Source organism: Homo sapiens, chromosome 4, assembly GCF_000001405.40.
Source record: "Homo sapiens chromosome 4, GRCh38.p14 Primary Assembly".
In the NCBI taxonomy this organism is placed as follows: Eukaryota; Metazoa; Chordata; class Mammalia; order Primates; family Hominidae; genus Homo; species Homo sapiens.
The window spans coordinates 86,918,986-86,945,008 of NC_000004.12; the positions used below are offsets into that span (position 1 = coordinate 86,918,986).

The 26,023-nt window shown below is 43.3% G+C and overlaps 2 protein-coding genes and 1 long non-coding RNA gene across 17 annotated transcripts in view, besides 8 other annotated features; 1 reads left to right on the forward strand and 2 right to left on the reverse strand.

Annotated features, from left to right (window-relative positions):
• C4orf36 (chromosome 4 open reading frame 36) overlaps nucleotides 1-17,219 on the reverse strand; it is a 60,000-nt gene extending 42,781 nt beyond the window's left edge. For 3 of the 7 annotated variants that reach the window (NR_183022.1, NR_183021.1, NM_001414641.1), the window contains exons 1-3: nucleotides 15,502-15,747; nucleotides 14,410-14,557; nucleotides 7,243-7,341 (exon numbers count right to left, since the gene is read on the reverse strand). The gene's annotated coding sequence lies outside the window, so the exon portion shown is untranslated. Of the gene's footprint in view, nucleotides 1-7,242; nucleotides 7,342-13,236; nucleotides 13,335-14,409; nucleotides 14,558-15,501; nucleotides 15,748-17,002 lie in introns of those variants that run through there. The other 4 variants (NR_183020.1, NM_001414640.1, NM_001414639.1 and 1 more) reach the window with 3 other exon arrangements.
• On the reverse strand, nucleotides 5,909-15,865 carry AFF1-AS1 (AFF1 antisense RNA 1). Its single transcript, NR_038841.1, has 3 exons — nucleotides 15,502-15,865; nucleotides 14,410-14,557; nucleotides 5,909-7,341 (listed from the first exon to the last, which is right to left on the reverse strand). It is a non-coding gene; the product is annotated as an AFF1 antisense RNA 1 (long non-coding RNA).
• Nucleotides 6,012-6,306: a silencer, noted in NCBI's record as "tiled region #3757; K562 Repressive non-DNase unmatched - State 11:FaireW". NCBI's record gives its function as "represses a minimal TATA promoter and a strong SV40 promoter by Sharpr-MPRA in K562 cells {active_cell/tissue: K562}" and the evidence as "EXISTENCE:reporter gene assay evidence [ECO:0000049][PMID:27701403]".
• Nucleotides 15,731-16,480: a silencer, noted in NCBI's record as "silent region_15551". NCBI's record gives its function as "represses an Ori minimal core promoter by ATAC-STARR-seq in GM12878 lymphoblastoid cells {active_cell/tissue: GM12878}" and the evidence as "EXISTENCE:reporter gene assay evidence [ECO:0000049][PMID:35858748]".
• Nucleotides 15,731-16,943: a biological region, named in NCBI's record as "OCT4-NANOG-H3K27ac hESC enhancer GRCh37_chr4:87856539-87857080".
• The window catches only part of AFF1 (ALF transcription elongation factor 1), a 206,029-nt gene continuing 196,031 nt past the window's right edge, over nucleotides 16,026-26,023 (forward strand). For 4 of the 9 annotated variants that reach the window (NM_001166693.3, XM_005263009.5, XM_017008215.3 and 1 more), the window contains exon 1: nucleotides 16,026-16,255. The gene's annotated coding sequence lies outside the window, so the exon portion shown is untranslated. Of the gene's footprint in view, nucleotides 17,497-26,023 lie in introns of all 9 variants that reach the window. The other 5 variants (XM_011531973.4, XM_047415703.1, XM_047415705.1 and 2 more) reach the window with 2 other exon arrangements.
• Nucleotides 16,402-16,943: an enhancer, noted in NCBI's record as "OCT4-NANOG-H3K27ac hESC enhancer chr4:87856539-87857080 (GRCh37/hg19 assembly coordinates)". NCBI's record gives its function as "activates a minimal SCP1, AML or CMV promoter by ChIP-STARR-seq in naive H9 embryonic stem cells {active_cell/tissue: H9 hESC(naive)}" and the evidence as "EXISTENCE:reporter gene assay evidence [ECO:0000049][PMID:30033119]".
• Nucleotides 16,944-17,485: an enhancer, noted in NCBI's record as "OCT4-NANOG-H3K27ac hESC enhancer chr4:87857081-87857622 (GRCh37/hg19 assembly coordinates)". NCBI's record gives its function as "activates a minimal SCP1, AML or CMV promoter by ChIP-STARR-seq in naive H9 embryonic stem cells {active_cell/tissue: H9 hESC(naive)}" and the evidence as "EXISTENCE:reporter gene assay evidence [ECO:0000049][PMID:30033119]".
• Nucleotides 16,951-17,089: a silencer, noted in NCBI's record as "fragment chr4:87857088-87857226 (GRCh37/hg19 assembly coordinates)". NCBI's record gives its function as "represses an EF-1alpha promoter that drives an FKBP-Casp9 reporter gene in an ReSE screen in phorbol 12-myristate 13-acetate-treated (for megakaryocytic differentiation) K562 erythroleukemia cells {active_cell/tissue: K562(+PMA)}" and the evidence as "EXISTENCE:reporter gene assay evidence [ECO:0000049][PMID:32094911]".
• Nucleotides 17,341-17,460: an enhancer, noted in NCBI's record as "active region_21696". NCBI's record gives its function as "activates an Ori minimal core promoter by ATAC-STARR-seq in GM12878 lymphoblastoid cells {active_cell/tissue: GM12878}" and the evidence as "EXISTENCE:reporter gene assay evidence [ECO:0000049][PMID:35858748]".
• Nucleotides 21,067-21,567: an enhancer, noted in NCBI's record as "H3K4me1 hESC enhancer chr4:87861204-87861704 (GRCh37/hg19 assembly coordinates)". NCBI's record gives its function as "activates a minimal SCP1, AML or CMV promoter by ChIP-STARR-seq in naive H9 embryonic stem cells {active_cell/tissue: H9 hESC(naive)}" and the evidence as "EXISTENCE:reporter gene assay evidence [ECO:0000049][PMID:30033119]".

The window sequence follows — 26,023 nt, forward strand, 5'->3', positions numbered from 1 at the left end:
GATGGTGTAATACTCAGTCCAAGGCCAAAGGCCTGAGAACCTGGGGGCATTGGTGTAAGTCCTGGAGTCCCATAGTCAGAGAGCCTGGAATTCTGATGTCCAAGGACAGGAGGAGGAGAGTATCCCAGCTCCAGGAGAGAGAGAGAGAGAGAGAGAGAGAGAGAAATCCTTTTCTCTCCTTTTTTATTCTATACGTACTAAACTCCTTAGCAAAAATGGTCACTTGGCCATATCCTTAGTATTCTCTCTTGAACTCTTGAACACACTTTTTCATTTTTTACATGACCAGGCTGAAAATTTTCAAATCTTTCCATTCTGCTTTTTTCCCCCTTTTTTTTTTTTTTTTTTTTTTTTTGAGGAGGAGTCTTGCTCTGTCACCCAGGCTGGAGTGCAGTGGCATGATTTTGACTAACTGCAACCTCTACCTCCTGGGTTCAAGTGATTCTCCTGCCTCAGCCTCCTGAGTAGCTGGGATCGCAGGCATGCACCACCAGTCTTGGCTAATTTTTTTGTATTTTTAGTAGAGATGGGGTTTCACCATGTTGGCCAGGCTGGTCTTGAAGTCCTGACCTCAAGTGATCTGCCTGCCTCAGCCTCCCAAAGTGCTCGGATTACAGGCATGAGCTACTGCGCCCGGCCCCATTCTGCTTCTTTTTAAATTATGAATTCCATCTTAAGTCATTTATTTCCTCTTATATCTTACTGTATGTGGTTAAAAGTAGCCACACAGATCCTAAAAATATTTTTCTTAGAAATTTGTTTTACCCAGCTGGGTGTGGTGGCTAACAACTCTAATGCCTGTACTTTAGGAAGCCAAGGCAGGGAGTTCAGTTGAGCCCAGGAGTTCAAAACAAGCCTGGGCAGCAAAGTGAGACCCTGTCTCTACAAAAAATTTAAAAATTAGCTGAGAGTGGGGGAGTAGCATCCCAGCTACTCAGGAGGCTGAGCTGGGAGAATTGCTTAAGCCCAGGAGTTTGAGGCTGCAATGAGCTATGATCACACCACTGCATTCCAGCCTGGGTGACAGAGCAAGATCCTGTCTTAAAAACAACAGCAAGAAAAAAGCTCTTCCATCAGATATCCTAGCTTATCACTCTTAAATTCTGCCTTCTGTAAAGTCTAGGGCATGAACACAACTCAGCCAAGTTCTTTGCCATTTCATAACAGGGATGGCCTTTACTCCGGTTTCCAAGAAGGTATTCCTCTTTTCCATGTAAGACCTCATCAGATTGGCCTCTACTGTCTATATTTCCACCAATATTCTAATCATGGTCACTTAAGTAATCTATAATTAGTCTCAGCCCTTCCCTGCAGCTCTCTTCTTCTTCTGAGCCCTCACCAGAATCACCCTTAATACTCCATTTACAGCAATCTAGTCTTTTTCTAGCCTGCTGCTCCAGATCTTTTTAGCCTCTACCCATTACCCAGTTCCAAAGCTACTTCCGCATTTTCAAGTATTTACTATAGCAACAACTCCAATCTTGGTACCAATTTTTTTGTCTTAATCCATTTTGTGCTGTTATAATAGAATGCCACAAACTAGATCATTTGTAAACAGAAGAAATTATTTAGCTTGCAGTTCTGGAGGCTGGGAAGTCAAAGATTGTGAGCCTTCATCTGGTGAGGGCCTTCTTGCTGCATCACAACATGGTGGAAGGCATCCCAGGGCTAGAGAGCATGCTCAAGAGCAAAAGGGGAACAAATTCACTTCTATAACCAAACCACTCCCTCAATAACTAACACACTCCTTTGATAACAACATTAATCCATTCATGAGGGTAGAGTTCCCATTACCTAATCACCTCTTAAAAGTCCTACCTTTTAACATAGTACTGTTGTATTGGGGATTAAGTTTCCAATATATGGCCGGGCATGGTGGCTCACGTCTATAATCCCAGCACTTTGTGGGGCCGGGGTGGCTCACATCTATAATCCCAGCACGCCAAGGCAGGTGGATCACTCCTGAGGTTGGGAGTTCCAGACCAGCCTGACCAACATGGAGATACCCCGTCTCTACTAAAAATACAAAATTAACCGGGCATGGTGGCACATGCCTGTAATCCCAGCTACTCCAGAGGCTGAGGCAGGATAATCACTTGAATCTTGGAGGTGGAGGCTGTGGTGAGCCGAGATCACACCATTGCACTCTAGCCTAGGCAACAAGAGTGAAACTCCTTCTCAAAAAAAAAAAAAAAAGTTTTCAACATACAAACTTTGGAGGACAAATTTAAACCATATCAATGCCCAAGAAAAAATATTAACAGAAAACTGTCACACACACAAAAAAATAGAGGCTGGAATATTAAGACTCAGACAATTTAGAAATGAAAGCTTGGTCACTCCACTAAGACACCTGACCAGCTGAGCTTCTGGCTGAGGGCAAAGGGAATACAGAGTAGGTAGCAGAAGGTCATAAATATCAACCATGGTCTCGTCATCAGTTAAAAAACAGGGCTGTAGTAGGTTGGCTACATATTTTCTCTTTGCTTGTAATATGTATGTTTATTTTTAAATGTTAGCCATTTTCTTTTTTCCCCCATGATTTAATATACAAGTTGTTGGAGGTTAACTTTACAATTTAGACTTTAGCTAACAGAATATTTAGTAAACTGTGACTGAATTTGAAAAGCAATTAATAAACTCAGTATTAAAATTTTTTAATTTTAATTTTTAAAATTATAGTAAAATATGCATAATGTAAAATTTATCATTTTAATCATTTTTAAGTGTACAGTTCATTGGCATGAAGTACATTCATATTGTTGTGCAACCATCACCACCACCCATCTCTAGAACATTTTCATCCTCCCAAACTGAAATCCTGTACCCATTAAGCAATAACTCCGCATTCTTTCCTTCCTGCCCTCCAGGCCCTGACAACCACTGTTCTACTTTCTGTCTGTATGAATCTGACTATGCCAGGCACCTCATACAAGTGGAATCATACAATATTTGCCATTTTGTGATTGTCTTATTTCAAGTATAATTTTTTAGAAGGTGAATTATAACTCACATACAAATACAAAATGAATATGTGTGATAGGTTTTATTTACCTCATTAATTAATGAGGGAACCAGTAAGATGTTACAACTAGATCAAAGGATAATTCAAAAAAACACACATAAATAGGCAACAAGGAATGCTAGAATGCATTTATTTAAAAGATGGAAAATGGTCTAACCACAGGGTGGTTAATCTACTATATTCCACCAGACACAAATAATTTTCATTTCTATGAACTAAAAATCTTTTACATTGTTATTAGTTTTCTACAACTTTCAGAGCTATAAAATAGCCCCAAAACAATGAAAGGAAAAGAAAACCAGGGAGTGTATAAAAATAGAATGTCCAATAATCATACATATAGAGCATGAATGGATATTGACAGTATAGCCGTGAATGGAAAAACAAAAACAAAAAAGGGAGGGTAACACTGTGCCAGTTATCAATTTATTGCTCCTTAGTCCAAAGCAATCTTTCTTTTTCTTGTTTGGAGTTAACTGATCTGGATCTGGATCCCATGAACATTTCTCATTTGCCAGCTGGTGCAATGTTAGGCTTATCAGCAGAGGGCACTAGAGAGACACTGCAGGCATAGCAGAGAGGCAGTAGCTGCCCTTCCTAGATCTCCTTGTTGTAGATTTTGTTCTTATGGTGTCACCTATGGAGTTCCATTGGCACTCACTCTCCAATAAGCTTCCACCTCACCCCAGTAGATGGCTTCCAGCTCACCATCCCCACCTGCAGCTGCACCACCACCTCTATCTGCAGCACTCCAGTGAATTCCTCTGTCATTTACACATATAATTTCTCTGCCATCTAGCTACAGCCCCGTCCTCTCCAAGGGGGTCTGAATTTTAGCCTCAGGGTTGAGATCTCTTCCAAGTCTGTTACTCCCTTGGATGTTCTCCCTCAGCCTTAGAGGTAGTCATGCTGTTTACATTTGCTTTTTCTTCTTCTTCCTTTTTTTTTTTTTTTTAAGAGATAGGGATCTTGCTAAGTTGCCCAGGATGGTCTCCAACTCCTGACCTCAAGTGATCCTCCTGCCTCAGCCTCCCAAGTAGCTGGGATTACAGGTGCTAGCCACTGCATCCAGCTGCCTTTTTTTTTTTTTTTTAATTTTTAGAAACGGTCTCACTCTGTTACCCAAGCTGGAGTGCAGTGATACAATCATGATTCACTGCAGCCTCAACCTCCTAGGTTCAAACTATCCTCTAACCTCAGCCTCCTGAGGAGCTGAGACTACAGGTATGTACCACTATGCCTGGCTGTTTTTTAATTTTTTGTAGAGATGGGGTCTCACTATGTTGCCTAAGCTGTTCTTGAACACCTGGGCTCAAGTGATCCTCCTACCTTGGCCTCCTAAAGTGCTGGAATTACAGGCATGAGCCCTTGTGCCCAGGTTCTGGTATTCTTTAGAGTTATCCTTTATCTGTCTTAATAGTTAACCATGTTTTATTAGTTAGTAACCTTTATATTAAATTTTTCCTGCTGGGTGCAGTGGCTCATGCCTGTAAGCCCAGCACTTTGGGAGGCCAAGGCGGGTGGATCACCTGAGGTCGGGAGTTTGAGACCAGCCTGGCCAATGTGGTGAAACCCTGTCTCTACTAAAAATACAAAATATTAGCCACATGTGGTGGTGGCAGGCACCTGTAATCCCAGCTACTTGGGAGGCTGAGGCAGGAGAATGACTTTGAACCAGAGCTGCAGAGGTTGTAGTGATCTGAGATCGCACCATTGCACTCCAGCCTGGGCAACAAGAGTGAGACTCTGTCTCAAAAAAAAAAAAAAAAAAAATTCCTGATAAATTATTGGTATAATTTCTGTCTCCTGATTGATAACACCATAAGCTTATTTATTTTCTCCCTATTTTAAAGTTGTCAAATCCATATTATTACTCGTGCAAAATAAATATATTAGCATGCTTTCATGTCATATTAATATTTTCTAGGAATTTAGTTCTGAGTTGTAATTGAAATAGTTTCTATTTCTCTTTTCTTTGGTTCTTTTATTTGGATTTTACTTACATGTTTGATACCTTCTGATATTGCTCCCTCTCTCTTTTTTCTTTTGAGACAGGGTCTCACTCTGTTGCCTAGGTTGGAGTGCAGTGGCACAATCATAGCTTGCTGCAGCCTCAACTTCCCAGGTCCAAGCCATCCTCCAACCTAAGCCTCCCAAGTATCTGTGACCATAGGCGCATGCCACCACATGTGGTTGTTTCTTTTTTTGAAACAGAGTCTCACTCTGTCACACAGATTGGAGTGCAGTGGTGTGATCTCAGCTCACTGCAACCTCTGCCTCCTGGGTTCAAGCGATTCTCCTCCCTCAGCCTCACAAGTAGCTGGGATTACAGACGTGCATCGGCACACCTGGCTAATTTTTTGTATTTTTAGTACAGATGGGGTTTCACCATGTTGGCCAGGCTGATTTTGAACTCCTATCCTCAAGTGATCCACCCCCCTCGGCCTCTCAAAGTGCTAGGATTACAGGCGTGAGCCACCACACCAGGGCCATGGCTAATTTTTTTATTTTTTATAGAGACAAGGGCTCACTATGTTGCCCAGGCTGGTCTTGAACTCCTGGGCTCAAACGATCCTCCTGCCTTGGCTTCCCAAAGTGCTGGCATTATAGGCATGGGCCACCACACCCAGCCTCTGATATCTCTTAAAGCAGTATGAATTTCTGCTTCTCTTATAATGTGGGTCCTTGTGTGACAAATTTTCTGTGAACTTGTATGCTTGAGGCTTAATGTCAGCTTTACTATGCTTTTATATTTGAATGATAATTTAAGTGGTAACATATTTGTGTGCTAGCACATTCTCACATTGCTATAAAAAATACCTGAGATTGGGTAACTTATTTAAAAAAGAGGTTTAATTTACTCATGGTTCTGCCAGCTTACAGGAAGCATGGTGCTGGCATCGGCTTATCTTCTTGGGAGGCCTCAGGAAACTCTGAATTATGGCAGTAGGCAAAGGGGGAGCAGGCACGTCACATACCCAGAGCAGGAGCAAGAGAGAAAGAGAGGAAGTGCCACACATTTTTAAATGATGAGTTCTCTCAAGAACTCACTCACTGTCATGAGGACAAACCAGGAAGATGGTGTTAAACCATTCATGGAAATCTGCCCCCATGATCCAACCACCTCCCACCAGGCCCCACCTCCAACATTGCAGATTACAGTTCAACATGAGACTGGGGCAGGGACATATATCCAAACTGTATCAATTTGTCAGTCTCATATATATATGAGACCGAGTCTCACTCTGTCGCCCAGGCTGGAGTGCAATGGCACGATCTTGGCTCACTGCAACCTCCGCCTCCCAAGTTCAAGCAATTCTCGTGCCTCAGCCTCCCAAGTAGCTAGGATTATGGGCATGCACCACCACATCTAGCTAATTTTTGTATTTTGAGATGGGGTTTTGCCGTGTTTGCCAGGCTCGTCTCAAACTCCTGAGCTCAAGTGATCTGCCCGCCTTAGTCTCCCAAAGTGCTGGGATTATAGGCATGAGCCACCACACCTGGCCCCCAAACTATAACAATTTGAATGATAATTTATTTAGAATTTTAAATATGAAATTCTAAGCTCTAGGTTTGTTTCACAATACTTAATATTACTCCTTTGTCTTCTTGCAGCACATGTGCTGTTGAGAAATCTAATATCAATATGATCCTTGTTCCTTCATAGATAACATGTTCTTTCTTTCTAGAAGATTTCAGAATTTCTTCTTTATGTATGTTACTTTGACATTTCATTCTAATGTATCTAGTGTGGATCTTTCCTTTTCTCTTTGGCACCTTTATAAACTTTTCAATCTGAAATCATTCATCTTAAATTATAAGAAATTTAATGTTATTTCTTTGACTATATCATCTTTTTTTTTCCTTTTTTTTTTTTTTTTTCTGAGACAGAGTCTTACTCTGTCGCCCAGGCTGGAGTGCAATGGCACGATCTCAGCTCACTGCAACCTCTGCCTCCCAGATTGAAGCAATTCTCCTGCCTCAGCCTCCCGAGTAGGTGGGATTACAGGCTCCCACCACCACGCCTGGCTAATTTTTTGTATTTTTTAGTAGAGATGGGCTTTTGCCATGTTGACCAGGCTGGTCTTGAACTCCTGACCTCAGGTGATCTGCCCACCTTGGCCTCCCAAAGTGTTGGGATTACAGGCGTGAGCCGCCGTGCCTGGCCTATGTCCTCTTCTTCCTTTTTGTTTCTAATTTCCCCTCTTGGGACTCACATAGGTGCTGACACTTGTACTTCCATCCTGTCATGCTGGACCCGTTGACTTCATTAGGGATGGTACCATGTTTGAGAGGCCGAAGAAGAGACTTGGAACCTGCAAACAAGACAGGGTTTATTGAGGAGACTTAAATACAGGGTGGTCTAGTGTTGGTGGGCTGGACAGGAGAACCACAACCAATTGTAAAAAGCATGCAATTTATATAGCATTTTCACTTAACACACTTCCCCTAGCAACCTCCACCTGGCAATGTTCATTTAACCCAAAACAAAAGAGGGCCTCCATCCCCTGTACAGCCTGCATTCCAGGGAATAGGCTGCAGGTTATGGTCCTCATAGATAAGGAATGAATCTCCGGGTTGGCCACTCCTAGATTCCTTAGCTTGGAACTCCAAACACACATTCTTCTTAGACGATAGGGTCATTCTCAGGGTATGCTTACGTTATTGCTGTCAGGTGAGTCTGCCATACAGGGTCATTCTCTGGGTATACTTACGTTATTGCTGTCAGGTGCATCTGCCATACCGGGTCATTCTCAGGGTATGTTTATGTTATTGTTGTCACATGTGCCTGCCGTACAATCCTCCATATTTCTTTGATATGTTTTATGCATTATCATTTCCTGCTGGCTTTTCCATCTGTTTAGCTGTGAGTTTTTAGAGGAGGGCCTCAACAAACCATGGGAAACTACAACCTAACACCCACTTTTGTAAATAAAGTTTTGTTGGAATAATCATATTCATTCTCTATGTACTGCCTATGGCTGCCTTTGTGCTATAATAGCAGAGTTGAGTAGTTGTGACAGAGACCATGTGGCCCATAAAACTTAAAATGTTTACTATCTGGCCCTTTACAGAAAAAGTATGCCCACCCCCATTCTAGAAGATAGGAGTCATCTTGTTCTATTTTCCCTCCTAAGGGCCTAGAATGTACCCTGCCCAGGCTTGTTGAATGAATGAATACATGAATAAATAAGCTTCAAAGGACAGATATATCAAAAGGTGGAGGCCGGGCATGGTGACTCATGTGTGTAATCTCAGCACTTTTGGGAGGCTGAGGTGGGAGAATTGCTTGAACCCAGCATGGGCCACATAGCAAGATCCAGTCATGTGTTTTTGTTTTTGTTTTTGTTTTTATTACAGGTAGAACTAGAGCATTCTAGCTAAAGGGAACAGAAATAGAATAAGTAAATACGTACAAGTGAAAATCAAGGGCAGCTTTCCAGTAGAGCAAAATGTCTAGCAAAAGTGAAGTCAGAAAGACTGGTTTAAGAAATATTCTGGGGCCAGGCATGGTGACTCATGCCTGTAATCCCAGCACTTTGGGAGGCCGAGGCGGGTGGATCATGAGGTCAGCATTTCAAGACCAGCCTGGCCAAAATGCAAAATGGTGAAACCCTGTCTCTACTAAAAACACAAAAATTAGCCAGGCGTGGTGGTGGGCGCCTGCAATCCCAGCTACTCAGGAGGCTGAGGTAGAGAATTGCTTGAACCCGGGAGGTGGAGGTTGCAGTGTGCCGAGATCACGCCACTGCACTCCAGCCTGGGCAACAAGAGCGAGGCTCCATTTCAAAAAAAAAAAAAAATTCTGGAAAGCCTGGAGTCTAGAATGAGGAGTTGATACTGAATTCCCTTTGCAATTGCCACATATATCACATGACCAGAGGTATAATTAAGGAAGATTCATCTGAGAGTGGAGGTTGCTGTAATGGTGAAGTTCTAAAGAGCTGACTCAGAATGGTGATGGAAAGTTTCTGAGAGACAATGCAGCTGGGTGGAAAGAGATGGGCTTCACAGCCAAACATCTACAACCCAGCCCCACAACATCCCAACTGTGTGACGTTAGGCAGTTGCTCAATCTTTCTGATTCGTAGCTATTTGTCAAACATGGTGATTCAGTGAGGATCCAGTTACAAAAATAACACTCATGCCAGGTAGTTCAGTGGAGAAAATTTAATACTGAAAGACCCAAAAGGGGAAGGTGAGACTATTCAGGCATTAAGCAACTGCCACCCTAAGGTGGGGACTAAGGGAGAACTTAGTGTTACAGGAGCTCAGGAGGCAGGGCTGTTCATTGGGATCTGTAGAAGCTGGGGCTATGGGGGAGGTGCTGCCACTGGGCCAGAGCCATTGCCCAGAGCAGAGAAAGAAGAGAAATGCCCAGGAGTTGCCTCTCTTCCTGCCCTTCTATCTCCTCCCAGTGCCTTCCATTGGCCAAACCCACCCAGAAGCCAGTTTCCCAGCAAAGAAGCCCTGAAAAGGTGGTTTGGGAGAATCTACCCCGTGACTGAAGGCAGAGTAGAGGAAGGGCACCTAGACTAGACTAGACTAGATTTGAGGCAAACGAGCAGATGACCTGTGCCATCTATCTCTGACTTGGGGTTGTGTTGAAGCAGGCTGAGCTGACACTGTGGGCTTCCACGTAGTATACAATCAGTAAATGGTAAATGTTCTTTTTTTCTTTTTACATCTCCATCCTCATTTTTTACCATTCGTCCCCAAATTCAGACATATTGATGTCTTTTTAGTTTCTAAAGGTCACTATGAACTCTATGACTTTGGGACCTGTGGATATTTAACTCCCTCTGCCCACGAAGTTTCATGTCCCCGTTTGATCACACACATTTTCCCCAACTTCCTCTTTTCTTTTCTTCTTTCAAAAATTTTTTTTCTTCCTCCTTCCCTCTCCTTCTCTCTTCTCCCTCTTTTGTTTTAGAATTCATCTTAGTTACTACCTCTGCCAGGATGCCTTCCCCAAGTCCTTTAGTGTTTGTTGGATGTCCCTGTCTGTGCTCTGATAACCTCCTATGCTCTATCATGTGTGCCTCTAGCCTAGCACTGAGCAAGACATAGATTTATTTTTTCTTTCCGTATGAGTTTTCTGTCGCTGCATAACAAATTACCACAAACTCAGCAGTCTAAAACAACACTCATTCATTACCTGACAATTTCCATAGGTTGGACTTGCGGCATGTTTTACCTGGGTCCTCTGCTCGGGATCTCACTAGGCTGAAATCAAGGTGTAGCCAGATGTATCTTCATCTGGAGGCTTGACTAGGGAAAGTTCATTTTCAAGTTCCCTTGGCACAATCCATTTCTTATGACTGTGGCCTTTTTTTATTTTATTTTTTATTTTTACTAGCTGTTGGCCAGAGGCCACCCTCAGCTCCCAGAGGATGCTTTCAAGTCCTTGCTATATGGCCTCTATACAGCATGGTAATTTGCTCCTTTAGGGCCAACAGAAGAGAAGCTGCTGCAGCTTTGGATCTCTCTGACTTACTCCTTCTTTGGCTCCTAGATCCTCTTTTCAAAAAAGAGCTCACCTGGTTCAGTCAGACCCAACCACACTCAAGGAGAGGAAATGAAATCATGTGGGATTGGGAATCTTGGGAGCCATCTTAGACTTCTGCCTACCACACTCTCCTTCTAGATACGAACTCTCTGAGAACAAGGTTATTCTCTTACTTCTCTTTATATCCCCAGAACTGAGCAGAATTAGTACCTGACAGTAGCTATTTAATACAAGAATAAAGACATAAAACAAAAAAAGGGAAGAAAACTCATAAGGAAGGGAGAGATTTAAGAGGAAAGTTAAATATGACTTGGTAATAATGGACACTTGAATCAGAATCCCGAGTCTATAATGGCACCATTAACAAAAGTTGAGAACCAAATAACAGGAATTGGGTAGTATAAGTTCCACGTTAGATACATTGAATTTATTTTGCCTGTGGGACAACCACATGGAATTTCTTGCAAACCAATGAGGGTGATAGTCTGGAACTTAGAAGAGAGATGTGGGTTGGGATGAAACAAAGTATTGAGTGCTGAGTTCTTGAAGTTGTGACATAGTCTTTAGGGTGCTCTTACCTCCAATCCTGCTCCACCGGGGCACTGTTACTTAGCTTTTCTAGTCTAACCCTCTCTATTATTTCTTTTCCTTCCCACTTCTCAACTATTTGACTTTCCCATAATCATTCAGGTTTCCTTTTCCTCTTCTTATTTAGTCCTCCAGATATAACTGTCAGCATGAAAACCCCATTGCCAGCTCCCTTGAGCCTGCTGATGTGAATTTCACACTGATAGACACTAGTTGAAACACTTATACTAATCTAATTTTGTGTATAGTGTTAAGAACATGGCCTTCAGCCATGGAAGAGCTGAGTTCAAATTCTACTTCTACTATTTAATTGGTTATGTAATCATGATCAAGATGAAATATCTCTCTGAGGTTATAACTTCTTTATTCATGAACTAGACAATATACCCACATTTTCAAGGAGATTAAATAAAGTTATATGTGTACAATGTCTGGGAAATTGTGGAAACTCAGTTAAATCCCTACATTTGTTTTGGGGGATGAAAAAATATTATTGTGCTCACATTGTGTTTTGTTCCAGCTGCACTGGAATTTTGCAAATTACTACTTTAAATGTGAAATCAGTTGAACAATACAACTACATGACTAAAAAGCATTCACAGTCCCCACTGGATTTGGGGAGTAGTGTGTAGCAATGAGGAAAAATTTACATACAATATGAACCTCATATTTGTTAGAAAAAGTGATGTCAGGTCACTAGGAATCACGTTTTCTGCAAAGTATTCATCACAAAATACAGACAGTTATTTTAATTATAATAATTGTGCACCTGGTTCTTCTTACAGCAAGTTCACATTTGCATATCTGCCTCCCAGATAGAGACAGATAACTAAGAATTTCTCTATCTGCCCACAATCTATACCTGGCTTTCTGTACATTTTCTTGCATAACCTTAGGGATTATAATTGTAGCCTGACTGTCTCCAATCCACTTTCATGTGGCAGTCTCAGTAATCTTTCTAAAATGCCACATGATCAAATCAATCTCCTACCCACCGCATTTAGGATGAAAGGAAAGCTTTGTAGGTTGGCATGTAGTGCCCTTCACTATCAGTTTCTGGTTGACTTTTCCTGTCCTATTTCATATCACTGCCCCCCTCATAATCTTTGCCTTGAAGTCCCGCTCCTCCTCTTGATTTCTGTTCTTTTTTGGGAACTGGCCCTTCCTCTACTTCCCTTAACCTGGCTTAGACTAATCCTTCCTCCTTTTTCATCCCTCCTCAGTGCCAGCATCTCCCTCTCCTCATCTACACCGCTTTCCCCGGAGTCTGGGTTGGCTGTTTAATTTAATTTTTTTGTTTTTGTTTTTGAGGTGGGGTCTCATTCTGTCACCCAGGCTGGAGTGCAGTGGCATGATCATACCTCAACGCATCCTCGACCTCCAGGGCTCAAGTTATCCCCCTACCTCAGCCCCTGAAGTAGCTGGGACCTCAGTTGTGCACAACCATGCCTAGCTAATTTTTTTGCTTTCTGTAGATACAGGAACTCACTACGTTGCCTAGGCTGGTCTTGAAGTCCTGGGCTCAAGTGATCCTCCTGCCTCATCCTCCCAACGTGCTGGGATTCTGAACGTGATCACAGTGCCTGGCCTTATTTTATTCTATTTTTAATCATAAGTATATGCTCAGGTTAAGATTTATTTGTTCCGCCAGGTGTGGTGGCTCACGCCTGTAATCCCAGCACTTTGGGAGGCCGAGGCGGGTGGATCACGAGGTCAGGAGATTGAGACCATCCTGTCTAACATGGTGAAACTCCGTCTCTACTAAAAATACAAAAAATTGGCCGGGCGTGGTGGCAGGCGCCTGTAGTCCCAGCTACTCAGGAGGCTGAGGCAGGAGAATGGCGTGAACCCGGGAGACGGAGCTTGCAGTGAGCCGAGATTGCACCATTGCACTCCAGCCTGGGCAATAGAGCGAGACTCTGTCTCAAAAAGAAAAAAAAAAAAAAAAAAGATTTATTCCGGGCGTGGTGGCTCACGCCTGTAATCCCAGCACTTTAGGAGGCGAAGATGGGCAGATAACCTGAGGTCCGGAGTTCGAGACCAGCCTGACCAACATGGAGAAACACCCGTCTCTACTAAAAATACAAAATTAGCAGGGCATGGTGGCGCATACCTGTAATCCCAGCTACTCGGGAGGCTGAGGCAGGAGAATCGCTTGAACCCAGGAGGTGGAGGTTGCGGCGAGCTGAGATGGTGCCATTGTACTCCAGCCTGGGGAACAAGAGTGAAACTTCATATCAAAAAAAAAAAAAAAAAAGATTTATTTATATACTTTGCGAGAATAAGTTAATGCCCTTTGAGATATACATGCAGTCATTTGGAGGAACATAATTTAAACTGCTGGCTTAAAATGCTTGGATCTTGCACAACTGCAGAGTTTAGAAGTACTTCAGTTTGACCAAACAGTTGTCCATGTTGTGATGCTGGGCACATTCCTCACCTGCCTCTATCTTAATGTTGTCTTCCCTCCTCATGGGCTGTTTAGGTGCTCTGAGAATACATCCTGTGAGCTTCTATGAGTCCCAGGGGTTTAACTAATTTGTTTTTAAATTTTAAGTAAAATCATGGCTGAAAATTGTCAGGTAACATCCCAGGAGCCCTCATATGAAGAAGCACCTAAAAAGTCCCATCATCATATTTAAAAGGGAGATTTATTTGGGGGGGTGGGGGGGTTCTGTTAAAAAAAAAAAAAAGCACCGATGTCAGAAACATGCTTCATCTTATTAGAAACATAATCTGAAATGTATGAGATTAGGTTGTCAAAATTAAGAAAGTGCTGGAATTTCATTGAGTGTGCTAAAAATGTAATTTAAGAATTCTTGTAAGGAAGATGATGGAGGAAAGTGTAGCTAACAAAGTTAAATATCTGCAACTCCATTACATAATTACTCTCCTTTTGTTTATGTCTGAAATTTAAAAAGTAGATATAAAAAATTTTTTAAAGTAGATATAGTGTAATCACTTTTTAAAATAGCCTTCTTATTGACTATTTATATAAGATGACCAGCAGAAGAGAGAGAAAGGCAACTTAAAAAATAATAATAACTCACTGGCATGGCTATCCTTTTTTATTCATTATCAGAAAATTAATTTGATTTAGTCTTTTTAAATAGCCAGTCACCATTCACGAAATAAATCAACAGAAGTGTGTACTGGAATTATTTACTTGCTTGTTTCTGCCACCACACTGGAATGTCATGAAAATAGGAGCTCTGTCTTTGTCATCAATATGGCTCGTCACCTAGCACATTGCCTTAAGAATATTGATATAAATGGAATGACTTACTCTCTGAACCAAAGCTACATCATCTTCAACAAAATTTTTGCAAAATTACAATCTTCAATTCCAAAGGCAGGAAAATAAAATGATCACACTTCCACTGTCAACATCATTTACTAAGTTGACCACAGTTTGAAGAGCCCTATAGGAGATACTATGGGATGACACAAAAAGAACACAAAAAAGGAAAACATTTTAGATAGAAGTGGTAAAAGTTTTCAGATTATAAAATATTACCATGCTAATATATATTTCACAATGAAATGTATTCATTATATAGCAAAAACGTTAAAATACTTGTTATTGATTAGAATAGAGATCAGTCTCTGTTAGAAACCTTTAAAAGGTGTACAAACACTTTGTAAGAGATGACTCCTGTCCCATCCTGCTCAGGGATGACCAGAACTTTCATCTTAGATAGATACACCACCAGGTTTCATCAGGGACACCTTAATTATTTTAGCTGTCTAGGTAAACCAATCTCCCGATGGGAGGATATGGAGTAGGGCGAAGAGTTATATTTTGGAAAACAATCCATGGGAAATTAAGTCAAGTAGCCAAAGGTTTAATTTGGAAATGCAAATATCCATCAATTAGGTTTTCAATTATGTGGACAATAAAAGAGTTGAGCAGAGCAGTAGAGACAAACAAAATTAAAAAGAGAAAAGGCAGAGAAGGCAGGGAGGGGCTTATTTTCACACATTATACCAATTTACATTACACATCATATTAAATTTAAGTAAGGCGCTTTTCTTCATCCAAATAATTTCACCCATTTTAAACCATAAAATACTGTCGGCGAAATCTCATCTGGGCCATTTGATGTAATCTTTCTGCGTCCCTTTCAGGAAGGAAGGTGCGACAACACAATGAAGACAGCCTGTTGCTTTCCTTGGTATGTTTACAGCAGGAATCGGGCAGCGACTTAACTAGACATAAGTTTCCCCTTCTTCCCATGGGTCTATTTGCCAAAGCCCCCTGCACCTATTAGAATTTTCTGAGGTTGGGCTGGTGGAGAGCAGAAACCCGGAGGCTAGATTCAGGAGACCTGGTTTCCCATGCCACTTAGTAGCCTGTGACATTGAGCACAATACTTACTTTTCGGCGCTTCCGTTTCATTATTTGGGAAATGGGAACAATATATCTGTTTTATAAGATTGTTGTGAAGATGAAACAGGCCTGTGTGTGAAAGGCCTTTTCTAAATTGTAAAGCGCTCCCCAGATGTTAGTTATTATCTCCTTTAAAGGGCACAGAATCTGTTTCAATATTATAGGAGGTTGCAAAAAGGCTCCTTGACACTTTTTGCTCAGAACTTGACCCTGAGCTTAATCTCGCCGTAAAGTGAAAGGGTTCTTGCGCCCCCACAGCAGCCCGGGGCAGGGTCACCCTCGCGACCGGGGCGGTCATTGCCGTATTCCGTCCTGAGCTGCCGCTCCCCCACGATCCTCCCACCAATCCCGGGAGGGCCGCGACGTCCCTTGCCGCTTGGGTGGCGCCAGCTAGAGGGCGCGGGCCGGGGCGGAACCCGGTACCGCAGCTCGGGAGGTGGGGGTGGGGGCGGGGCCTCGCGCGGAGGGCGTGGCCTCGGGGCGTCCCGGGCAGCCGGCGTGCTGAGCTTGCCAGCCAGCTAGCGAGCGACGGGCGCGCGCGGCCCCTGCGCACTCGGCCGCCGCCTGCGCGCGTTGCGGCCGCAGCTGCACCTTTGCCTCCGCGGTTCCGCAGCCGAGCCCCGGGAGGAGGCGCTCCCCTGCGTCGTCCGCACTTGCGCCCTTTCCCACCGCAACAGGTCAGGGGAGGGCGGAGGTGACGAGGGCGCCCGACCCGGGACTAGAGGACGGAAGGGTCTGGAAGGTGAGCGCAGCCCTGCGCCACCCAGGGCTGGGGGTCGATCCGCCCGGCCCCCGACGCCGCCGCCGCGGACTTCTCGGAAGCCGAGGCTCTCCCCGCCTCTCTGCCGGCTTCCCAGCACGCTGACTCAAGTCGCTGGCGTTCCCACTTTTCCGGTGGGAGCCCTCGGGGAGAACGGGCTAGGGCTCAGAGCTCTCACCGCCCTACTTGCGATCCCGCGGCAGGTAGCGCGTAGAAAAACAGGGGACGGGGACATGGGAAGAGACCCATGCTCCTCCCTCACGCGCAGCCCCCAAGTCAGACGTTTGCCTGTGCACCCCGCGTTTTGCGGAGAGCTGTCCCGTTGTTGGGACCTGCTACTTGAGTTGCGTAATGAGTCCCAGAAGTTTCTCGGGGGGAGGGGGCGGGGAAAAGTGGGGTTCTTCTCTCCTGCACCCCGGGACCCTTCCCTGTGCCTGTCGTGGAGAGAGATGAGGGCTTCCCGCCGCGTCTCGCTGAGAGCAGGAGGGAGGCGTGTGTCGGTGGTCCGTAGCCTCCGGGGAGGAGTTGGAGCCACCTTCTGAGACTTAACTTCAGGGACAGAGGGAGAGGCGTCTTTAGTATGGGACTGGTTAATTTCTCTTGATAATGCTTTTTTCCCTCGGGTGTCCCATCCTCTGTGGCCGTCGCAACCCCACCCTCCGACGGTGCGAGCGCCGGAGCCAGCGAATGAGAGGGGAGAGAAGGTGGAGAGTGTGAATCACACGTTACCTTAGTGTAATGGTAGTTGCATTAATGGAGCTGCGACGGGCCTGCGGGCGGTTCGATACCGTCCGGCTAGTTTTCTCTTCCCGGAGCTTCTCCACCACCAGCACCCGCAAATTGTTATGCAGATCATCCCGGGAAGGCACTTGGCTTTGGAGGTGGAGATGTGTCCGAATCTCCCTTGAACCAGTCTCTGTTAGGGGGAAAGGCCTTGCAGCCAAGTGATTTGTTTTAAGGGTGGAGCCGGAGATAATTTTAAACACCCTCCCCCTTGGTGCACGTTGCGGGGTGTGACTCACCACGGGGAAATCAGACTGATTTAAAACCTTCAGTGCAAACTTGTAAATTAAGGCGAAGACCCAGTGTTCCCTGGGACAGTTGCAAAGTGAGAAGAGCTCAGAAACTGAAGCACAGAAACGTTAGGTAGGAGTCTGAGAGGCGTGGAGAATTTTGCTTGTGCAAGATTATTTCAGAGCAAGGTCGTGCGGTGTGTGTAGAAGGTAGGTGGCCGTGGGTTACCTCTCTCAGACCTGCGTGGTGTTGGCCTCTGGGTGGGGATAAAAGTCACGAAAAAGACCTTTGGACCCAGAGTCTAGTTTTTTTTCTTTGGGGCCGAAGAATACCTAGGCATGGCCCTGTTTCAGTGTTTACTTCCTCTGTCTAATGTATTTCCTTAGCTCGCCTTTCATCTTTAGTGGGAAGGATTACTTGAGTGGATATTCCGGAAGTAGATTCACAGGAGAATGGAAAATTCTGGATGGTTTGCTTGCTTTAATTTCAAGGTGTTGTCTCTTGTGGATGTTGGGAAGTATTGTACTTGAATATTTGAAGATAAATATGGAGAAAAGCAGTGGTGAGAACTAAAGGAAAATGATCCAAGGGGAGATGAGAGAAAGCAACAAAATACATAAGTAGTACGTAAAACTAGAGAAACTCACTGGAATTAAGCCATTTTTATGGAGAGAAAGAACCAAGGAAATAATTTGGGATAGATTTGGTCACTTTGAGACAAATAGAGATTGAAGAGTGGGACTTTTGGGGAAAATGAGTTTAGATATTGGAGACTTTTCTTTTTTCAAATATAACTTACAAGGATGTTGAGGCTGGAGATGTGAGACTTGCAGGTATGTTGCTGTGAATTCTTTGCTTTTCACCTGCAAGAAAATGAACTGTTAAATATTAATCTGCCTTATTCACTGTAACAATTGAATTTGTGGCTTTGGCATTTGCTTAACTCTTCAACTTTGCAAAACTATAATTTTGAAGAATCACAGTGTGTTAAATTAGAATACAAAGATCATTTAGAGATTGAAAATTTATGACAAAAGTCCAGGCCATTGTAAACATTGCTTTCTCCTACATGCGTAACAGGCATGCATTTTTTGCCACCAGAATCACTAATCTACTATAGGGTAATAAGACTATATCAAAACTAGCTGTCTCTTCTGTTTCCTCTCCGGTTTAACTGAATTTTGCAGAGCTGGTTGAGGTGAAAGTTACTTTTTTAATTGACTGAGAACTTGCTTAATTAGGTTTTGGATTAAATTTGGAAGAGACTATTCAATTAAAATACATATATATTTATCAGGCACCTTTACAAGTCACTTTATTTATTTTTGAGACAGGTTCTCACTCTGTCACTTAGGCTGGAGTGCGGTGGCACGATCATAGCTCACTGCAACCTCCAACTCCTGGGCTCATGGGATCCTCCCTCCTCAGCCTCCCAAATAGCTGGGATTACAAGCATATGCCACCATGCCCGGCTAATTTAAAAAATCTTTTGGTAGAGATGGCTTGGGGTGGGGGTGGGGGTGGGGGGCTCCCTATGTTACCCAGGTGGGTCTTGAACTCCTGGCTCAAGCAGTCCTCCCACTTTTGCCTCCTCAAGTGCTGAGATTACAGGTGGAAGCCACCGTGCCTGGCCTACAAGTCACTTTAGCCAGGTGATTGTTTAGTTGAAGTTTCATATTGCCTTGAAAGTTGAAAAGAGGGGTGAAAAAATTGAGCTTAGAAAGGGTAAACTTGTTTTCAATATTTTTTGAAAAGCTGATGGAAGGAGTTCTATGTTCAACTCTGTAATTTGTGGGCCCAAAGTTCCTTTATTTCAAGGCTCTAGACCATTAACTAATTTTTTGGGAGATTGAGAAAGTATGTTAGAGAGAGTGCAAATTAAGGAACCTCATTGGGGCCAGGTGTGGTGGCTCACGCCTGTAATCCCAACACTTTGGGAGGCTGAGGCGAGCGGATCACTTGAGGTCAGCGGTTCTGGACCAGCCTGACCAATATGGGGAAACCCCATCTCTACTAAAAATACAAAAAGTAGCTGGGCATGATGGCGTGCTCCTGTAATTACGCTTCCTCGGGAGGCTAAGGCAGGAAAGTCGCTTGAACCCAGGAGGCGGAGGTTGCAGTGAGCCGAGATTGCACTGCTGCACTCCAGCCTGGGCCACAGAGCAAGACTCCGTCTCAAAAAAAAAAAAAAAAAAGAAAAGGAAAAAAGTAAGTGTATTTACCATAAATATACAGAGTTTGATTAGTGATATTTTCCTCAAATAATAAATTCAACAATGGTTTCTGAAGTTTAATTGGCAGTTGCTTTCTAGTAGTCTCTTTTTTTAAGACACAGTAGAAGCTTATTTAATAGTGTTGATTTGGATCTTAGATTTTAAAATAGATTACATAAACTCTGTAATCCATTTATTAAAATTCTACCACAGCATGGAAATAAATGTGAAATATGTGGCTCTTTGTAGGTACACATCCATTATTCATGATTGTTTATATCTGGACAACAGATTGTTATAGACTTGACACCATGAGACCCCAAGGTCATCAGGGTTGCTAATAGGAGTTTCTGTTGTATGCCTTAGGACAGAACTTCAGTAGTATTCCCGAAGGGAAGAAAATCAGCTGATTTTCTTAAATTATCTGGCCCATTTTAAACATGACTAAGGATTTCTTGCTAGAGTGACTTTTTCCTATTAAAAGACTGAGATTATTGTGACAAATAGTGCCTGAAGGAATCAATTACATCATTAATATAGTATCTCATATTCATTCCTAATACCGCGTAAGTATTGAGTAGCTTCTGTGAGCCAGACGGTATCCTAAGCATTGGAGAAATTGTGATGGTAACATGATCAAGAAAGAGAAAGGGCCTGTGCAGGTGGAACTTATATTGGCACTTCACTGTTTACCAACAGCTTTCACATGGCATAATCATTTAAGCCTAATTGTGACTCTGAAATTGGAATTCATTTTCCATTTTAAAATCAGGAAATTGAGTTGAAGAAGTTAAGTGACTTGACTCTGTGACTCAAAGCCTGGTGCCCTTTCTACTATGGTACACTGTGTTGGCTATGTTGATGTGTGGTTTCCTGTTTTTCAAGAATTACAGCTTGACTCTAAAATATAAATAGTGTTTCTCCTTGGGTAAGTAATTCTTTCTGATCACTATGGGAATAAAAACAAGTATTTTCATTTAGGATTTTGAACATTTGTGCCTCCAAAGGAAAAAATTATGCAAACCTATTTAACAGACACGTGGTGTTTATTTGCACTAGATAAGAATCCTTACCTTTCTAAAAATTAAATAGAGGGCCTTACGGACTAGCTGCCTTAGTGCTTGAAAACTATTATTCAACTTGTGAAAGCTCAGTTCATAAATTTTTTAGAGCATATCCCTATGTAAGTCAGAACATACTCATACCATTTCCTTCTTATAGATACAGTGAATATGTGCAGCCTGGCAGTAGTTCTCAGACCTATAATGTACTCCTGAAAGGCTTGTGAAAACACAGGTGTGCTCCTCTTACCCGTCCCCCGAGTTTCTGATGCAGCAGGTCTAGGGTAATGCCCAAGAATTTGCATGTGTAACATGTTTGTGGCTGATATTGATGCTGTTATTTCTGGAACAACACTTTGAGAACCACTGTGGTATAGCAGAGAGTTTAAAAAGGTTTCTGAGTCAGACAGCTTGGGTTTGAATCTTGGATATGCTACCTACTAGCTGTCAGACCTTAGGCAAATTACTTTTTTCAAGAACTATGAAGGCTGAGCGAGCACTGCTGCTTACGCCTGTAATTCTAGCACTTTGGGAGGCAGAGGCGAAAGGATCATTTGAGCCCAGGAAATTTGAGACTAGCCTGGGCAACAAAGTGAGACCCCTTCTTTAAACAACAGCAACAGCACCTGTGAAGTCTGAGGTTTTACCCTACTCTCAAGCTAACTAACCTGCCACAGTTTCATGGACCCCTGGGTTACAGAGGAATGACTTTATCACTCATCAAGATAGCTGTAGCCAGAATATCAACATTTTCTTAGACTGGTTTCCTAAGCCCCAATTTTCCAAAGGGTTATGTGAAGAGGGGAAGAGAGCCAAGTGACACATGCAAAAACAGTGGGTTGTATTAACAGGAAGGGAATCCTGAGTTTTTATGAGACAGAGTCTCACTCTGTTGCCCAGGCTGGAGTGCAGTGGTGCAATCTTGTCTCACTGCAACCTTCGCCTCCCAGGTTCAAGCAGTTCTGCCTCAGCCACTCGAATAGCTGGGATCACAGGCATGTGCCACCACGACCAGCTAATTTTTGTATTTTTAGTAGAGACGGGGTTTCACCCATGTTGGCCAGGGTAGTCTTGAACTCCTGACCTCAGATGATCCACCCGCCTCAGCCTCCCAAAGTGCTGGGATTACAGATGTGAGCCACTGTGCCTGGCCTTCCTAATCTTTTATAGTTGTCAGTAAGTGTGTCTGCTCTTCACAGGGAGATTTTATCTTTTTTTTATTTTTCTTTCCCCTAATCATTAGAACCTGTGAAGGGAGGGGCTGGGCATGGTGGCTCATGCCTCTAATTCTAGCACTTTGGGAGGCTAAGGTGGGTGGATCACTTGAGGTCAGGAGTTTGAGACCAGCTTAGCCAACATGGTGAAACCCTGTCTCTACTAAAAATACAAAAATTAGCCGGGTATTGTGTTGGACACCTGTAATCCCAGCTACTTGGGAGGCTGAGGGAGGAGAATCGCTTGAACCCTGGAGGTGGAGGTTGCAGTGAGCAGTGATCGAGATTGTGCCACTGCACTCCAGCCTGGGTGACAGAACGTGACTCGGTTTCAAAACAAAACCTGTGAAGGGAGAGTTTTATCTTGATTATACTGCATAGTGAACATGCTGCCCTTAGTGCTAGGAGACTATCCCTAATTTTCCAAGGCTGTTCACCATACAAACATCTTTAAAGATAATTTGAAACAGCCAGGTACAGTGCCTCATGCCTGTAATCGCAGCACTTTGGTAGGCTGATGTGGGAGGATTGCATGAGCTCATGAGTTTGAGACCAGCCTAAGCAACGTAGTGAGATCTCGTCTCCACAAAAGTTTTTTTAAAAAATAGCCAGGCGGGCCGGCCGCAGTGGGTCACGCCTGTAATCCCAGCACTTTGGGAGGCCAAGGCGGGTGGATCGCTTGGAAGTCAGGAGTTCGAGTTGAGCCTGGCCAACGTGATGAAACCCCGTCTCTACTAAAAATACAAAAATTAGCCGGCGTGGTAGCACATGCCTGTAATCCTAGCTACTCGGGAGGCTGAGGCAGGAGAATTGCTTTGGGGGTGGAGGTTGCAGTGAGCCAAGATTGTGCCATTGCACTCCAGCGTGGGCAATAGAGCAAGACTCTGTCTCATAAATAAATAAATAAATAAATAAATAAAATAAAAAATAGCCAGGCATGGTGTTGCATGCCTGTGGTCCCAGCTACCCAGGAGACTGAGGTGGGAAGATTGCTTGAGCCTTGACCTAGGCTGTGGTGAGCTGAGATCCTGCCACTGTACTCTAGCCTGGGCAACAGAGCAAGACCCTGTCTCGAAAAAGATAATCTGAAACAAAAAGACAATTGATGCCTCTGCTTGTAAAAATATGCACAAATACCACAGACCCATGGAGAAATTGTCTCCGAACACCTTTCCAATCCTCCGTTTTTTTTTTTTCCTTATAAATTGGAGTGAGCAATATAGCAATATCTTCTTTATTGAGTAGTTGAACAGAGTAAAGGTACTAAGATTTGGCAAGTTCTTGGAGCAGAGCATAGTAAGTGCTACATAAATGTTTGCTATTATTACTCCTGAAGGAAGAGATTGTGTTCTCAGTCTTTTTTTCTTTTTTATGGTAAATATTGTCTCATAAGATGAAGTAATTGGTTTACTTTGAATAAATGGCAAACTTTGAGTTTGTTCCAAGAAACTTTTGTAAGGGTCCAAATTCTGAAATGAGGACAATGCCTTGTACGATATTTTACCAGCCCACAGGGAATGAGGTAGAGACATTTTCTACCAATATCCATGTGCTTTTCTGTGTTTCCTAGCTTCTTTATGGTTACACAGAATCAGGTGACTCATCTGTCCAGATAAGCAGTGAGTCACAGATAAGCAATAAACATTTATTTATTTAGCATAAGTTAACTCCAGATAGTAAGTAGTAAGTACTATGAAAAAATAGAAGTGTGGCCAGCACTGCTATTTTCCTACTCAGTAGCCATTCCTGTTTGTTCTTGTTGTCACTAAAAGAACTTTAATTGCTAAGAGACTACATTTGTCCAGTCTTAGGTAATAGATCATGTTTGTTCTCAGCCAGTGGTGACAGTTTGTATCTTGATTTACCTGCTTCCTTTAAAGCTAGAAGAACCTGGGTGACCTAGTTCTGGTTTTTTGATGGTAAAGATTTTTGGCAAAAATAGACAAATATGTCAGGCAAAGCCACACCTTCCTCTTCTCCTCCTCTTCGTGCCTTGAATATGAATGAGATCTCTCGTTCATAAGATGGACCATGGCAAGCATGAAGACAACATGCTAAATAGGCAAAGCAGAAAAAGTCAGAGTTCCTGATGCCTCATTGCATAGCTAACAGTATGCCAAGTAGCCACCCTCTTCTAGACTTGCTGTAGGAGAAACATAAACTTCTATTAATTTAAACAGTTATTACTTACAGCTAAACACATTCCTAACCCATATAATAAGCATAATGGAGTAGAGAGTTGTGGGTTGGCTGGAGAGAGTCCTTGAGGGACAGCATTGTCACATTAGCTTTGAGAGTCAGTGGAGGCCTCTCTGAGAATGTCATTGGAGCTGAGCACCTAATGATCAGAGGGAGCCAACAATATGTGGGATGTGTACTTGAGTGTAGCGTAGCACCAGAACCCCGTTGAACAAAACTTCAAAGTGTAGAAGAGATAGTTGGGGAAATTGTATTCCTTTATGGATTTCTGAGCTTGTGAGGTCCATGTGCATTGGAGAGCCTAGAGGAACTGTAGATGATCAGGTCAGTTTGGGGTCCTGGGAGATTATGATCTCTCCCAGGGGTAGATCTCTCTACTAGGGGTAGAGTTCTAGAGAATCAGACTAAAACAGAATGTATGTCCCATGACTTATCCCTAACACATTGCCTGTTACCAAGAGACTGTTATTCCTGGGTAAAGGAGAAGTATAGTTGACGAGGGACTAACTAGCCTACAGGCCTCTGAACAGAGTAATTTTTCTCATATTCTCCTTTGGAAACTAGATTGTGGTCCGGGGACTGGGGAGCTGCTTGCTCTGTTTGTCCAGTTGAAAAGTTCCCAGGCTGGGCTCAGTCGCTCACACCTGTGATACCAGCATTTTCGGGACCAGCCTGGGCAACATGGCAAACTCCTGTCTCTACAAAAAATACAAAAATTAGCCGGGTGCAGTGGCTCATTCCTGTAATCCCAGCACTTTGGGAGGCTGAGGTGGGCAGATCACCTGAGGTCGGGAGTTTGAGACCAGCCTGACCAACATGGAGAAACCCCGTCTCTACTAAAAATACAAAAAAATTAGCCAGGCGTGGTGGTGCATGCCTGTAATCCCAGCTACTCGGGAGGCTGAGGCAGGAGAATCGCTTGAACCCTGAAGCGGAGGTTGTGGTGAGCCAGGATCCTGCCATTGCACTCCAGCCTGGGCAACAAGAACGAAACTCTACCCAAAATAAAAAAAACAATAATAACATAAAATGAAATAAGCCAGGCATGGTGGCACACATCTGTAGTCCCAGTTACTCTGAAGGCTGAGGTGGGAGGTTTACTTGAGCCCAGAAGGTTGAGGTTGCAGTGAGCCATGACTGTGCCACTGCACTCCAGCCTGGGTGACAGAGCAAGACCCTGTAAAAAAAAAAAAAAAAAAAAAAAGTCTTCCCTAGTGTGTGGAATTGCCCCAGCACATGGTTTGGCCAGCCAAAAAAATAACTAGAACAACCACTATCATTTATTGAATGTTTACCATGAGCCAGTCATTGTGCTAAAACTTTTACAAACATTATGTCCCCGACGACAATCCCATGAAGCCCCTGTATTACTGATGAGAAAGCTGAGGCCTTAAGAAGAATAATTTTCTGGAGGTTTTTTTTTTTTTTGGACAGTCTTGTTCTGTCGCCCATGCTGGAGTGCAGTGGCGCGATCTCAGCTCACTGCAAGCTCCATCTCCCAGGTTCACGCCATTCTCCTGCCTCAGGCACGCGCCATCACGCTTGGCTAATTTTTTTTGTATTTTTAGTAGAGATGGGGTTTCACCATGTTAACCAGGATCGTCTTGATTTCCTGACCTCGTGATTTGCCCGCCTCGGCCTCCCAAAGTGCTGGGATTACAGACAGCCGCGGCGCCCAGCCTCGAGGTCTTATAGCTAGTTGCAAAGCAGGTCTTTTACCAGCATGTGGTAAAGACTCTTGAGAGTAGGTTCCCCAGAGTGTACTAGGTTTGGAAGCACTTAATGACCTAAGTGAACAGAATATTTGAAAACATCTTGAGTCACTTTTTATATTCATCTTCTCCCTTTTTTTCTATTTATGTATGTATGTGGTGTGAGTGTCCATAAAACTTACATATATGTGTATATACTCACATGTATGTGTATACACACTCTTGAATTATGAATTGTTTGAGGAAGAAAAGCAGTTTGATACACATGACATTTTAATTTCTGAATAAATTTGGTAAGCAAGAGAGGGAGGACTATAGAAAGGTCACTTAGATAGTA